At 38.0% G+C, this 16,741-nt stretch overlaps 2 long non-coding RNA genes and 1 pseudogene across 4 annotated transcripts in view; 2 read left to right on the top strand and 1 right to left on the bottom strand.

Moving 5' to 3' along the window:
* The window catches only part of LOC105377795 (uncharacterized), a 145,951-nt gene extending 139,589 nt beyond the window's left edge, over nucleotides 1-6,362 (top strand). For both annotated transcript variants that reach the window (XR_941375.2, XR_941374.2), the window contains one exon: nucleotides 6,238-6,362. This is a non-coding gene — a long non-coding RNA (uncharacterized LOC105377795). The remainder of the gene's footprint in view (nucleotides 1-6,237) is intronic.
* Nucleotides 6,363-7,721: 1,359 nt separating this feature from the next.
* LOC107986908 (uncharacterized) lies at nucleotides 7,722-13,447 on the top strand. Of its 2 annotated transcripts, none has more exons than XR_005646960.1 (2): nucleotides 7,722-8,219; nucleotides 10,991-13,447. It is a non-coding gene; the product is annotated as an uncharacterized LOC107986908 (long non-coding RNA). The 2 variants fall into 2 exon arrangements; XR_001745764.1 differs by lacking the exon at nucleotides 7,722-8,219 and adding an exon at nucleotides 8,913-9,771.
* Nucleotides 13,448-14,747: 1,300 nt separating this feature from the next.
* LOC392180 (transcriptional adaptor 1 pseudogene) lies at nucleotides 14,748-15,947 on the bottom strand (annotated as a pseudogene).

Raw genomic sequence — 16,741 nt, 5'->3', positions numbered from 1 at the left:
ATTCTTTATATTAATTTGCAAAACATATTTCCATTGAATACATTTGATAGCCCAGGTCTCATTTCAGGCAGTAAAGATACCTCAATGAACAAAACAAACTTCATACTCCCCATGGATGAAGGCACAAATAACCAAGTACTTCAATATAATATGTGACATAAAACATTTATCATATACATGACTTACATAAAATAACGCATCACTTGCCAGGCAGTAATAAATGCTATCCAAAAAAGTAAGATAAAAATAAAGGAAAGTAGAGTTAGTTGAGGACAGGTGATTTTAAATGTAATAATCATGGACACCTTCTTTAATGACAAGCTGTTTAAGCAGGAGAGTGACTTTGATGAAGGAGTTAGCCCTGGGGACAGAGTATTGTAGGCAGATGGTAATATAAGCACAAAGGCAGGAGTATGTTTGGAGTGTTTATAAAATATGCAGATTTTGCTAACCATACTGAAACCATTGAGACTAGAAAGAAAGAATATGAAATGACTAAGGGAATTTATGGCATTTCAGAATGCAGCACAAGGACCAACCAAATTTTGCAATTTATAAGTATTTTCAGTGTACATAAGAGTAATATCTCTTCCTACAACAATAAAGCTGTCCCATACTATGAACTTATACTTTCTTAAAATGTGAACTGTCTTTAAAATGTTCAAATATAATCAGGTTCTGCTGAATGGATTCCTACTTGTAAAGACTCTTCTATGCGATCTCATCGAGTGTCCCTGTTCTGATCATTATGTCTCGTTCTGGTTAGATATTGGCATGACTAACACTAAAATCTGGTTCTCTTACTACATCCCCCAACCCTGGTCAAAGCACACCAGCAGCAAAACTCATTGTCACCATCTTCCCAACAAGCAATGTGTGGTATCTAAGACAATGAACTTAACCAATGAATGTGGTGTGTGTTCTGATGGCTCTACTGGTGAGCCATTCTCCTGTCTCTCTCCATCTCCTCAGGCCTCCCTAGTCCCTGAGACACAGCAGTATTAAAATTAGGCTAATGAATAACCCCTAAGATAGCATCTAAGTGCTCAAGCAACAGAAAAATTCCCATATATCACAGTTTAAAAGCTAGACATAATTAATCTTAGTGAGAAGGCACGTCAGAAGCTGAGATAGGCTGAAGGAAACAGCTTTGTTGCTGTTACGGAGAAAGTGTGAATGGTCAGAATAGAAGATCAAACCAGCTATGATATTCCCTTAAGCCAATGGCTAATTCAGAGCAAGACCCTAACTCTCTTCAGTTCTATGAAGGCTGAGAAGGGTGAAGAAGCTGGAAAAGAGATGGTTGAAGCTAGTAGACATTATTCACAAGGTTTAAGAAAAAGAGCCACCTTCATGACATAACAGTGCAACCTGAAGCAGCAGGTACTGGTAACTGCAGCAAGTTATCCGGAAGATCTAGCTATAATATTGATGAAGGTTGCTACATTAAACAGCAGCTTTTCCATACAGATGAAACAGCTTTCTGTTGGAAGAGGATGCCATCTAGGACTTCCATAGGGAAAGAGAAGTAAATGCCTAGCCTCAAAGCGCAAGCTGACTCTCTCAGGGGCAAATGCAGCTGGTGACTATAAGCTGAAGTCAATACTCATGTACCATTTCAAAAATCTCAGGGACCTTAAGAAGAAAATGATAAATCTAATTCTATAATGCTAAATCTGCTCTGCCTGTGCTCTATAAATAAGAAAGCTGGGATGACAGCACATCTGTTTACAGCATGGTTTAATGAATATTTCAAGCCCAATATTGACACCTACTGTTCAGTAAAAACAAATATATTTTTAAAAAATATTATTTCTCATTGACAATGTACCTGGTCACCCAAGAGCTCTGACGGAAATGCACAAGAAGATTAATGTTACTTGCATGCCCGCTTGCACAAATCCATTTTGCAGCCCATGGATCAAGAAATAAGTATGAGTTGCAGGTCTTATTATTTAAGAAATATATTTCATAAGGCTATAGCTGCTGTAGATAATGATTCCTCTGCTGGAATTTGGCAAAGTACATTGAAACCTTTTTGGAAAGGGTTCCTCATCCTAGATGCCATTAAGGACATTTGAGACTCATGGGAGGAGATAAAAATATCAGCATTAACAGAAGTTTGGAAGAAGTTGATTCCAACCCTCATGTATGACTTTGAAGAGTTCAAGACTTCAGTGGAGGACATAACTACAGAGGTGGTGGAAATAAGAGAAGCAGAATCAGAAGAGGAGCCTGAAAATGCGATGAATTGCTGCAATGTCATAATCAAACTTGAATGAATGAGTTGCTTCTTATGGATGAGCGAAGAAAGTGATTTCTTGAGATGGAATCTACTCCTGGCGAAGATATTGTAAACATATTTGAAATAACAACAGATAATTTGGAATATTACATCAACTTAGTTGATAAAGCAGCATCAGAGTTTGAAAGGGTTGACTCCAATGTTGAAAGAAGTTCTAAGGTGGGAAAAATGCTAGCGAAGAGCAATACTTGCTACACAGAAATCTTTCATGAATCTTTTCATGAGTCAATTCATGCACAAACTTCACTGTTGTCTTACTTTTAAGAAATTGCCAAAGCCACCCCAACCTTCGCACCTACTCTGATCAGTCAGCAGCTATCAACATCTAGCCAAGACCCTTCCCCATCCAAAAGATGATGGCTCTCTGAAGGCTCAGACGATCATCAGCATTTTTCAATTAAAGTACATACACTTTTTAGACATAAGGCTATTGCACACCTAAGAGATTATAGTAAAATGTAAACGTAATTTCCATATGTGCTAGGAGGCTTCTGAGAGGTTTCCTTCTCGGGTTCTGTAGTCTGCAAATTAAGTTACTTTCAACTCCCTGAACTGGGACCTTCTCTATTCAACATAGTAACAGTTCTAATCTTTATTTGGATTCCTTTTCTCTGTAACATGTTACTGAACTTGCCTATTTGCAGAGAGCTTAGAGGAGGGCCACATTCACCTCTTTCTTTCCTTTCTCTCGGGGATCACAGGCATGTTAGGTTATATATCTGAAAATAATTCAGAGATTATTCCCAGGCATAGCAAGCCTGTGAGGTTCCCTCCATTTTGTGCTGTGTTTTACTTATTTGTGGTGAGGGATTAATTCTAGGTCTCATTTCTCCCATGTGCACAAAGCATAGGCTTTGTGATCTAGTTTTAAATCTAAATAAAAATTCTTCTGAGCACCACTTTTTAAATTAAATTTGATGGTCTACATTACCATAGTATACCAACAGAAATTCTTAGATCCTAATACCAAATGGTGAGTTGAATTATTGCATTCAAAAGTTATTATACTAATCCCACTTAATGTAGCCTAGCAAAAGTACATAGGAATAAAAAGAGGACAGTTTAAGAGATGAATTATTTTTATGAGATAAACTTTTCAAGTTTCAAAGGTCTGTAACCTACCTAAAATATATGGAGAATGTAATTACATTTCACAGGAAATATTACATTTGAAAATAAAGCAGTACAAGAAAAAAACACCCTCCTAATTTTCTTCACATGATATCTCAAAATACATACAATTTGGTTCCTTGTATCTAACACATTTTTAGTTGAAAAGAAATGTCCTTACTTTTAGAGACCTAAAGATTTAAACAAAACACTCAGGTAAAATAATAAGCCTTCAAGAAAGAGATTTGTTGAAACGAATTGAAAAGTTACACGACCATCCAGGGCCACAGAAATTCCAGTCTGATTGTGTTTACACATACAGTTATCTGAAGCTGTAGGTCTTAACTAGGAAAGAGGGACATGGTGATTCACACACACACCAGACATCTGATGAGGTCTAGAAGCATTTTTTGGTTTTCACAAATAGGGGAAGAATTACTACTGGACATCTAGGGACAGAGAATGGCATGACTTGAAAAAACCCACAATATTTTACCCCCCAATATGCCTCTTTGAAAGACATATTAAGATAGAGACACAGAGGAAACAGTGGTTACAGGAAAGGGCTGTCTGAACGACCTTTCTTTCCTATGGGAGTCCAAAAATTTCCTCGTGAAAAAGGAGCACGGGGGCCTGTTTCCCCACTTTCCGCCTGAAAGCTAGGGGAATCTGGGAGAAAACGGTACTACTCTCCCTTTATTTGTCTACCTTTTGGAAACCATGAAGCTGTGTTTTCTTTTGTGTTGCTACTTCTGAATTTATTCTTTGTTAGATTGCTATAGAAGCCAGGACCCTAAGCCACCATCTCAAGAGATATTTTTGAACTGAGGCTTCTTCCAGGTAATGTGCATAGCACATGTTAAAAATAAAAATGTTATTTTTCTCTTGTTAATCCATCTTTTGTCACAGAGGTGTCCCAGATCTGAACTTTTTAGGGTTGCAAAAAATATATTTTTCTCCCTTTCAGAATGAAGAATTTGCAAATTAAATCATTCACCTCTGTTATTTCTATATTAGAGTGACTTTTGCCATTACAAATCATGCCATAAAAATATTTAATCGTGATATTCTCTTCAAACCACCCTACTCCTATCCTTTTTAAAAATTGTACTATTTGTACCAAGACTAGCACCCCAAAGTAATGTGTATTTCAGTATGTTAATTTATTTTAAAGGTAAAGGACACATTTTTCTAATATTTAATAATGTTTCAATGGTGGAGAAATTCATGCATCAATTATATAACTTTATGCTTATGAGTGTTATGAGATATTACATCTCAGTGGTATGAAAACTTCTCCAACCCATACAAAGAGTTAAGACAAGCTTATGTGAAATTACAGATGTCTTAGTCATGTGAACTGTTTCTGTGATGTGAAGGTTGAACATGATTATGAAGATGCAGAAATACCACAAAATTCTAGTGAGTCTGAAAATTATTAAAAATATTTTTATAACTGAATGGCATCACCTAAACCATGACCTTTTTTATATTTTCCATTCGTTGGAGTTTTTTTCTATGATCATATATTTCTGACATAATAGAAATGCATGCAAAAATAGGATTTTCTCATATCACTTAATATTCTTTATTTTTGTTGGTTACTATTTGATATGCACCCAACTTGCTTCATCTTTTTAAAATAGAATACAAATGTATTTTAAGAAGAAAACACTGCATTATAATTTAACAAAACTTGAACACAGAGTCAGTGTCCTCTTCCATTGCTCGTTTATCTTTTAATTCTTAAATGAGTTTCTTTATAAGTTTTGTATTTTCTTAACTAAGTACTTGAAAAGAAAATGTAAAGAGTAATTGTATTTGACTTCAGGTTTCCAGGGGAAAAATCAATCATCCTGCATTTAATATTTATTTACTTAGTAATTAATACTCAGAAATTCAATGTTGTCTGGACTCACAGTCATCTGGGTTTCAGTTAATTGAATATTTTTAATTAAAGTAACTGAACTCCATCCATCCAACTTTAGATATAGCCCCAAAGGCAATAGTTGATTCAATAGTTAACCAAAATTAACATTTGAAATAATGCACATACTCAATAGATTTACAAGGAGAATTAGTTCAGAACTTAATAATGGTGCCTACAATACAATGACTTGAGTTTCATACTGCTTTTTGTTGAAATTATTATTCAAATTAATTGACTTTCATATCCAAGTATCGAAAAGTAGTGACCTAATTACAAGTAAAATAATTTTTACATTGTGATTGTTAATGTTTTCAAGACACAGAAAAATCTAGAGATATGTACTTTGGTCTCTGGAGTTTTAAGTGTGTTTTATTCATTCAGAAGATGGCCTGATGGATTCTGTATACAAATCAAAGTAGTTTTTATATGCTCTAAAAGTTTATAATTTCAAATTTCTCTTGACTTACAATCTAAGTTTGCAAAAGCTGAAATGTAATTAAGAAATAAAATATGGCAGACTGTGTGGTCATTCCTGATGAATGATGTGTCTCTGCTACATGAAGTCAGTAGGAGAGCCCAGGACATGAGTTCCACTCTGGTCGTTAATCAACCTATTCACACTGTCTGGAGTTCCTGACTGTAATAATAAATGGCACATAACACATTCCCAGTTTCATATAGAAGATTAATTTTATTGAAATCTACCACCAGACCAAAAATAGATGGGATGTCTAAAAATAATTCCAAATCATAATAGTATTGGTAGTGATCTTCCTTGGTGAATAGCTGGGGCAACATTCTACATATAGAAAAGACAACGGCTTTAGTGATGAGTGTTGAAGGATGGTGTGAGGCAAGATGCATAACAACATATTTGTTATTATTTACCCAGGTAGCCCTACAATTTCAACCACATCCTTGCCAAAGCTTTGGTGACTAGAGTGCTCTGGGATCCTGAGAAGAAGAAAAGAAAATGAGACCAATATTGAGACAGGACAAATTAAATTATTGAAGATCTTCGTGTCTGATTAATTTGTTTCATGATTAGTTTTCAGAATACAGAGTTTTATGAGGAATAGACATAAGATAGGTACATTCTGAGGAAGAAAAAGAGAAGTAGACCCTAAAAATGTGGGTATATGATCTTGCTGAGGCAGTCAGGCTAGATACAGAGAAGCTCCAAGAAGGCCTAGGGCAGGGGGAGAAGATTGAGAGAGGGCTGCATGGGTGGGAAGGAAAGAGCCCTCAAAGAATGAAGAGATAATGTGTGTGGTTTCACAAAAGGTCAATCTAAGAGAAAGGAACAATCATAGTGTTCTTTCCACAGATGAAATCCAAGGTTAAAGTGGGAGAGTATGACAGGCACTTAGATGCTAATCATGAAACCAGATAAAACTTAACTTTAAAAAATATTTATTATACATATGCGCACACACACACAAAACTAATGTTTGTTTAGAATCTATTCAAGGTCACAGACTACCTCTCCAGCCTCATCTCCTGCAACAATCATCACACACACCCTCCTATGTGTGATGGCCACATGGACGAATGGACATTTCCAAGCTAACAGCACATTGCTAAGTTTCTGTGGGCAGGTGAGCAGCACAAAGTCAGGGGCAGGTTACTCTTGTCTAGGAACCTCATAAGTCCATTTCTCTCCAGGTCAATGCTGCTGCTTTTGTGAAGCTTTCACAGACTCCCTAGGATGCAATTATCTTGCCCTCTTTGCTGTAGGAGATTGGTCAGGGTGGTGGGAAAAATTATAGGGAAACACACAAACCTTCTTGGAAGGCTGGGAGGTTTTGCAAAGCTTTGGGAGAGAATAAAAGCTAAAGGCAGCGAATTCTCTTACCCTGAGGCACAGGGCAAAGGGTAGATAACAAGAGAATGTAAAGAAACTTACCTAGATAAATTGGTTTACTTATGTCTCTGGAAATCAACCTTTGATCATTCACATGTAGGAGTGCTCTGTACTCGGGGGTCGACAATGTTAATCACCCACAAACTGTGTTTGCTCTAGGCCTTTGTCATTAAATCCGTACTCAATAAATACAAACAGCTCTGGTTTATTGCGGCTGGACTCTTGTTGGTGGTGCTAAGCCATGCAGTCCCCTAGCCGCGGTCTCAGGCAAAATACTTGTGTCTGCCTACTCCTTTTATCCATTGCTCAGTCAGGGTCTGAGGGACGGACCTGGCAGGTGGTGCTCTGTGTGAGGAATGCTGCCATGGATTGTGACGGAACCCCCGAAAACAAAGGTAAAGAGACTGTGCAGTCAGTAGGTCAGTGGTACCCGCTCAGGATTTCCAAGATCAAGGGAATTGTTAAGGCTAGAGTTTCATCATGGAACAACAGTTATAAGCTCAACAGAAACAGTATATAAAAGTATTGGAACAGCTACTTAAAGCTACTGGAGCTTTGGTTTCACAGGCTCAATTAAAGGACCTAATGCAAACTGTTGTTTCCCTTAAGCCATGGTTCCTTGAAGAAGGGACAATAGACCTAGAGCTCTGGGAACAAATGCGGAGAAATCTTAACATCGTATGCAAGGGCTTCAGGTCCCAGTAACATTTTTAAAGTTGTGTGCATTAGTCAGGGCTGCTTTGGCCCTGCTCTACACAGAAGAACCTCAAAAAGGAAGGCAGGAGGAACCATCACCTACCTTACTGCCTCCTCCTCCTCCTCCCTCAGTCCTGCTGTTACAGGGCAAAAATACCAAAGAGGAAACGGAGGTTTTGCCTAAGCCCCCTCCCACAATAAATTGGAAGAAAGACAAGGGATACACTATAGCTATGGAACCCTGTCTTAGGCAAGCAGCATTAGAAGGGGAGCTCTTCGCCTGCCTGGTAATGCAAGATCGACAAGGCAATCAGGTATATGAACCCATTTCTTCTGATGCTGATAAAGAGATAAGGAAAAGCATTAGAGAAAACAGAGGCACTAGTCCACTTACAAAAGGATTAATTGAGACCATAGCAGACAACTTACATATGACCCCATGGGACTGGTCAGTGCTAGCTAAAACAACTTTAAAGGTCAGTCAATACCTCTTCCGGAGGGCAGAATTTGGTGAACTATGTGAACAGCAAACCCTTTTCTAATAATGGCCACTATTATTATCCCTCCCCTAACCCTGACATGGATCTCTCAAAATCCAATTTAGGTAGAACAGTAGCCTTTAAAGGGAAAGAAATTACAAAGAGCCCATGAATTAGTTGAGGAGCAATTAAAAGCTACCCATATAGAACCATCAAACAGCCCTTGGAATTTGCCCGTTTGCGTCATTCCCAAAAAGTCTGGTAAATGGAGACTTTTGCATAACTTACAGGCTATCAATGCAAATTTGCAACTTATATGGCCCCTTCAACAGGGGCTCCCTTCCCTCGTGGTGATTCCTTGAGATTGGCCTATAGTCATTATTGACTTAAAGGACTGCTTTTATACTATTTCCCTGGCAAAACAGGACAGAGAAAAATTTGTGCTTACAATACCAGCTATCAATAATGAAAGGCCAACTCACTGATTTCATTGGAAAGTACTTTCTCAAGGGATGCTGAAGAGTCCTACCACGTGTCAGCATCATGTAAATCAAGCTTTGATTCCCAGTAGAAAATAATTTCCTAATTGCAAATTATTCATTTTATGGATATTTTACTAGCAGCCCCAACAGAGCCAGTAGTTTTAAATTTATATACCTCTGTCAAAAGGAATACACCGTTAAGAGGTTTAATCATAGCACCTGAAAAAGTACAAATGTTCTCCTTGTAAATATCATGGATACATAATAGCTTCTCAGTCAGTTATACCCCAGAAGATTAAATTAAATACTAACAACTTATGTACCTTAAATGATTATCAAAAATTAGTATGTGATATTAACTGGCTTCACCCCACCTTAGGCATAACTACTGATAAGTTACAAAACCTGTTTTCTATCCTAAAGGGCAATACAGCCCTAGACTCTCCCAAGTATTTAACGCCTGCACCAAAAAGGGAAAATGAGGAAATAGATCAAGCTATTTCTTAGAGGCAACTAAATCACATAGACCCACAATATTTAGTGGAATTGTTTGTTTTTTTCCTACTAAACATTCCCCAGCAGGATTAATAGGACAGATGGCCCAGGGCTAGTACACCTCCTAGAATGGATTTTTTTACCCACATACTGGGACTAAAACACTATCTATCCATATATGGCTAGTTAGTAAAGTAATCTATACAGGCCACAGACAATGCAATCCGTTGCTAGGTTATGACCCTGATGTCATAAATCCCTTGAGTAAAAAAAAATTCCAAGCAGTCTTGTCCTTATCTCTGGACCTGCAGATAGCAGTATCTGATTATGCAGGCCATATAGAACATGCCCTTCCTGCTGACAAATTACTTCAGTTCTTACCTCATACTCCTGTAGTTATGCCTACAAAGGTAGTTCACTTTCCCATATCTAACACTTTAATGCTTTTTGCTGATGGCTCTAGTAAAAATGGAAAAGCAGCTATTGGTGGGAATCCCCAAGGACAGGCCATAGAACATGGCCACTCCACCCTTAATATGCTCAATATGCTCACTCGTTCTGGATTTACCTTTACTCAGAGAGCTGAGGTTGGAGCCTTAATATTGGCCCTAGAAACATTTTCTTTTCAGCCCATCAATATTGATAGTGACTCTGCTTATGCTGTTTATTTATTGCAGAACCTTGAGACAGCCCTCATTGAGTCTGCTCTGGAGCCCAACCTATATGCACTTTTTCTTCAGACTTCAGCAATTGCTGATCAATGTACATATCCTAACTTTACCACACATATTCGAACCTACAGCTCACTGCCTGGCCCACTGGCTTCTGGGAATAATCAAGCATACCTGCAGGTTATGATGTCACTGCTTGGCCAAGCCACCCAATTGCATCAATTTTTCCATCAAAATTGTAGAAATTTATCCAAACAATTTCATCTTACCTAAAGACTAGCTAAACAAATTATTTTACAATGCCCAGATTGCCAGCTCACAGGCACAGTCCCTCCTTCAACAGGTGTTAACCCTAGAGGACTAGAACCTAATCAGTTATGGCAAACAGATGTTACATACGTCCCTGAATTTAGAGAACTAAGATATGTACATATGTCCATTGAAACCAATTCCCACCTAATTAGTGTGCATGCTTTGCCTGGAGAGTCCACCCAATATGTCATTAAACATCTTCTTTCAACTTTTGCATTTATGGGATGGCCCCCAAAATTAAAACTGATAATGGTCTGGCTTGTGCCAGCTCACAATTTCAACAATTACACGTGGAACATCCAACATTCCACAGGTATCCCTTATAAACCCCAAGGACAGGCCATAGTATGTGTCCACTCCACCCTTAATAGGCTCAATATACTCAAAAAACGAAAAAGGGGGAATATGAGTAAGGACCCTGAAACACTATTGGCACAAGCCTTATTTACCCTTAAGTTTTAAAATTTGAATGATAAATTTCAATCAGCCACAGAAGTGCATTTTACCAAAGGCCCTCACAACATAAAACCTGCAGTTTTATGGAAAGATGTAAATAGTAATGTATGGTGTGGTCCAGATGATTTGCTAACATGGGGAAGAGGATATACTTGTGTTCACACCCTCTCAAGTCCTCTTTGTATTCCAGCACGATGCATCAAATCATACCATGGTGTGGCTAGGACCCAACCCAGTAGGAGAAATGAAGGGAATGACCCTACAGGACCTGCAGCCCCGGATGATGCAACTTCCTTGGATGACACGAGCCCTGGACATTACCTGGGGGATGCTGAAGATGACAACCCAGGAGGCTGAGCAAATCCTACCCTGGACACAGACACCATTCACTCCAGATAATTTGTTCCTTGCTATGCTTTCTGTTGTACATTGCAACTCTTGTAGGATATTGGCTTTTCTTATTTTCTCACTCTGGTTGCAACTGGTACCTGCTACACTCTATTAAGCCCATCTTCTAAATCTGCCTTTCTTCTGCACTGTTACCTGTGCAGATACTCCCTTCCCAGCCTCTAATAACGTAACCGCTTGGCTAGGAGGGATTGACCTACCCGCCATGGGTTTCCTTAGTAATGGCACAGATTGGACTGAGGAGCCAAGCAACACTACATATCACTCCTTGACTGGAAAAGAATGTTACGAATTATACTCATGTTTGTCTCATTATTTACTAATTCTAGGATGCAAAGCCAGAATACAAGCAGCAACCACTACACCAGACAAACCTTTTGCTGCACACATCTGTATTCTTCAATCAACAAAACCTGACACAAACAAAAAGAAAATGGGGAGATGTCAGAGATCAGTCAGCATGGTGGGAAAAATTATAGGGAAAGACCCAAACCTTCTTGGAAGGCTGGGATGTTTAGCACAGCTTCAGGACAGAATAAAAGCTGAAGGCAGCTAATTCCCTTACCCTGAAGCAGAAGGCAAATGGTAAATAACATGGGAATATAAAGATCCTTATCTAGATAAATTGGTTCACTTATGTCTCCAGAAACCAACCTCTGATCATTTGCACAGAGGACTGCTCTCTATTCGGGGGGTCAGCAGTGTTAATCACCCACAAACTGTGCTTGCTCCAGGCCTTTGCCATTAAATCTGTACTAAGTAAATACAAATAGCTCTGGCTTATTGGGGTGGCACTCTTGTCAGCAGTGCTAAGCCGTGCAGTCCCCTAGCCGCACTCTCAGGGAAAGTACCTGTGTCTGCCTACTCCTTTCATCCATCGCTCGGCCACGGTCTGTGGGACAGACCCAGCACTTTACAATTCCAACATCTGTATTGTATTTAGTTCAAAATTTACGACTTTCTTATTTGTTTCTCAGTTCATTGAAATTAAAATGTACTCTTTAGTCAGCAGGTACTGTATATATGTGTGCTGAAGTGGATCGAATGGCTCCTTGAGGCAACTTTAGAAGGGGAGTTGAACATAGGCTGTGCAAAGTTTTCATCTGCCCCATAGCTAACCATTCTTTTATTGAACTGGTAGCCTTCATCCATATCTGGTATAGACAGTCTTATACAGATCAATTTAACTTCTGTTTTTCTCAAGAAAGAAAGATATGTGTGAGCTGGTAAGTGACTTCAGAGGATTAATAAGCAGGCACTGATACAACATATAACTTAAAGAGGTAAGGATGCTTAGCATTCCCTCTGACAAGAATTCAGCACAGTTGGTCAGGTTTTCTTATTGGCTACCATTTACTGTTGCTAAACTTGTGTTAATTTCTGTCACTGGGCGAGAAGAGCTAACCTTCTTCAGGCAATGCACTTAGTTCAATACATTAGTGGTTGCTTGGTGTGTAGGCAAAAGGAGGATTGCAAAGTCAAGCCTGCAGTTAAAAATGGAAATGTAACTGTGTTGCAGTTCTTAATAATATAAATACATATTTTTATGTTTTCGCCTTTTACGATGTACATTTACACATGAATAATTGGTATTAACATTACTAATTACTAAGAGAGTTAGCTTCAATTCTTTTTATTTTAATTTTTATTTCAATAGCTTTAGGGATACAAGTGGCTTTTGGTTGCATGGATGAATTGTGTAGCCGTGAAGTCTGGGATTTTAGTGCACCTATCACCTAAATACCGTACCTTGTACTCAATAGTTTTCCATCCCTCACCTTCTCCTGCCCAGCCTCCTTCATGAGCCTCCAGTGCCCATGATACCACTCTGTATGCCTTAGCATACCCACAGTTTAATTTCCACCTGTAAGTGAGAACATGTAATGTTTGGTTTTCAATTCCTGAGTTACTTCACTTAGAATAAAAGCCTCCAGCTCCATCCAAATTGTGCAAAAGACACTTTTGTTCTTTTCTTATGGCTTAGTTGTATTCCATAGTATATTTATATGGATATATACCACCTTTTCTTTATTCACTCATTGGTTGATAGGAATTTAGGTTGGTTCCATATCTTTTAAGTTGTAAACTGTGCTGCAGTAGAGGGATTACCAAGCATATATCTAATTTACATACACATAAAAGTTTCTTTTCCATATAATGACTTATTTTCCTTTGGGTAGATAGCCAGCAGTGGGATCTCTGGATTGAATGGTAAATCTATTCTTACTTGAGAAATCTCCATACTGTTTTCAATAGAAGTTGTACTAATTTACATTCCCACCAACAGTGCATAAGTGTTTTTTTTTTTTTTTTTTTTTTTTTTACTATATCCATGCTAATATCTACTTTTTTCTTTTTAATAAAAAGTACCCTTACCCATTCTGGCTGAGGTAAGATGGTATCTCATAGTAGTTTCAATTGCATTTTACTCAGGAGTAGTAATATTGAGCATTCTTAAAAATGTGTTTGTTGGCTATTTGTATATCTTCTTTTGAGAAATGTCTGTTCATATCACTTGCTCAATTTTTGATGGGATTATTTTTTTCTTCCTTGCTGGTTTGTTTGAATTCCTTGTAGATTCTTGATATCAGTCCTTTATTAGGTGCATAATTTGCAAATATTTTCTCCCATTCTGTAGGTTGCCTATTTACTGATAATTAAATCTTTTTTCTCCCAAAAGGTTTGTCACATTTAAAGTACAAAATCAAATACACAGAACCAGATATGTGAACCATATATACATATCTATAAAGCCATTATTTAGACCTATGCAAACCTATATGTATATATACTAATTTATCATCAGCGCTATCCCTTAAGTAAAAAGCAACATATCTCTTAAAAAAAACCTAGGTTTGTTATCAGTGAAACTGTCGAATGTAAATTATTTCCACTTTATCACTTGAAAGGGTAGAAATAGGTACCTCCTAGAAACAGGGGAATTACCAAGCATATATCAAGTTTGTATACATTTCTTAAAATATATTCTATATGAATAATTAACCAAAGAGACTGCCAATCAAATTCTTTGGGCATACTAACTCTAACAAAACTTGAGTCATGGGAAGACATAGAGTTAATTAATTGCATTCCAAGAGTTTTGTTTTGATTTTGGTTTTAAATGCAGAGGGACTTTATTTTGTTTAGTAACACAGAGCACTTCCAAGTCATATTTCACATGGAGTTATAGTGATAAATTTTTCAGGGGTTACGTATAGCTATTAAAAATTAAACTGATCAATAATGGAGGTATCTGGTTTTTAAAACTGTGTAGGTTATTTAAAGCAAAATGCAAGAGCACATCCTTTAAGAGAAAGGCAGAAATTTTAGACTTCTAGATACAGAATGTACGACATCACTGAATACAGAGATGCCCTGCTGATCAGGGGGACTAAGTTGTAACAGCTTCTTTGTTCTAGGATGTCATCTATCTTACATGCAGACCACAAGATACTAAGCCTCAGGTACCGAAATATCTCCATTCCAGGCACAGGATTTCATTAGTGCCTGCTCCCACAACTAGGAACACATACATATAGAGATATGGGTCATTACCAAAGATTTATATTAGTGGCTTCACAAGAGCAACACAAAAGGTACTCATTGTCTCATTTCCATATGAACGGTTATATATATACCATACACTTCAGCCTTGAAATGTAGACCCCCCCACTAAAATTCAATTTTCAGTAATCAATGAATTTGATGAGAGTCCCGCACCTTCAAATCCTCATTTAGCACAGCAAAAGCCCCTCCTTGGTTGCCAAGCACTGGTGGTGAACTTTGTCTTCAGCTCTTCATGATTTGGATGCCAGACTTTCATGATAATCCTTTCAATGTTAACGGCATAGACAGTATGTGTAGGTATGACTTCCCTGTGTACCCGCAGAGCTTCAAAAAGTTCATACATGTTCGCTGCAGATAAAGATGCAGATAGAGTGTCTCCAGAGCATGCCAGAAGGAATGCAGCCTGCTGCTCGGCTTCATCAGGAGGTGGGTGAGAAGCCGGATTCTGACCAGCACAGGGAGCAGTAAAAGCTTGAGGGCTTTATATTAAGTTGTTCTAAGCTACTACATTATTCTTCAGGTATGGCTGTGGGGTCAAATTACTGCCAAAGGCATATTTAAAATGGTCATCTCGTAACCGATAAGCTTTCCTTCTTGACACAACTGATGTCAGTATATCTTTAGGATGATTCTCCACAGCATAGACAAGAGCTGAAATAGCCTCCTCGGTGACATTGTCCAGCCCATGCTCATAAGCAGTCACTGTCATTCTCCCTTCAAGCCAGCCTTGAATGAGAAGCATCATGGTGTGGGAACAAAGTTTCAAATCATCATCATCTTGGGGATCTTTTGCCACAAATTACTGGGCTCTTGAGAAAGGACTGTGAGGCTGAAATCTATGATCAAATTTCTGACAGAAGAAAGCTTTTTCTTTCCATTGGGCTTTCCAGGTTTTGCTGCAGAACCCCCCATCCAGGGCAAAGATCCAGCACCCTCTGATGTAGAAACCAAAATCTGACAATGCGTGAGAATGGCCAGGAGGAAATCATTGTGAGGATGCATATTATCCTATGTAAGAAACCTATGAGTTTCAAGGTCAAAGTCCTCTTTCCTGATCTTCCGCTTGAACCACAGCTTAAGTTAGCCCAGTATTGATTCACGTTGTCCCCCAGGGCCTCACTGAAGTTCTTCTTGGCCACCTCCAGCTCACTCACAAAGGTCGCCATTGCTCCATTCGTTGATAATTAAATCTTTGGCTGTGCAGACATGTTTAGTTTAATTAGGTCCCATTTATTTATGTTTTTGTTGAATTTGCTTTGGGGTTCTCAGTCAAATTATTTGCCTAGGCCAATGTCCAGAAAAGTTTTTCCTAGGAATTTTTTTGAGAATTTTTATGGCTTCAGGTCTTAAATTTAACATTTTCATCCACATTGAGATAATTTTTATATATGGTGAGAGTCACGAATATAGTTCATTCTTCCCCTTGTGGCTCTTCAATTTTCCCAGCACCGTATCTTGAGGGTGTCATTTCCCCAGTGTATGTTTTTGTCTGCTGTGTCAAAGATCAGTTGGTTGTAAATATTTGGCTTTATTTCTGGGTTCTCTATTCTGCTCCATTGGTCTAGGTATTTACTTTTATACCAGTGCCATAGTGTTTTGGTTAGTATAGCCTTGTAGTATAATTTGAAGTTGGGTAATTTGATGCCTCCAACTTTTTTTTTTGTTTTTCATTTTGCTTAGGATTGCTTTGGCTCTTTGGGCTCTTTTTTGGTTCTATTTGAATTTTAGGAATTTTTCTAATTTTGTAAAAAATTGCATTGATCAGACTGCATGACAAAGTGAGACTCCATCTCAAAAAGAAATTATATTGATATTTTGATAGGAATTGCATTGAATTCGTACATTGTTTTAGGCCATACAGATGGTTATTTTCACAATACTGATTCTTCTTACCCATGAGCCTGGGATGTATTTCCATTTGTTGTGTCAAAAATGATTTCTTTCAGCAGTGTTTTGTAATTTTCCT

Source organism: Homo sapiens, chromosome 8, assembly GCF_000001405.40.
Source record: "Homo sapiens chromosome 8, GRCh38.p14 Primary Assembly".
In the NCBI taxonomy this organism is placed as follows: domain Eukaryota; kingdom Metazoa; phylum Chordata; class Mammalia; order Primates; family Hominidae; genus Homo; species Homo sapiens.
Note: the sequence above shows the minus strand (reverse complement) of the source record. Positions and strands in the feature narration are given on the sequence as shown.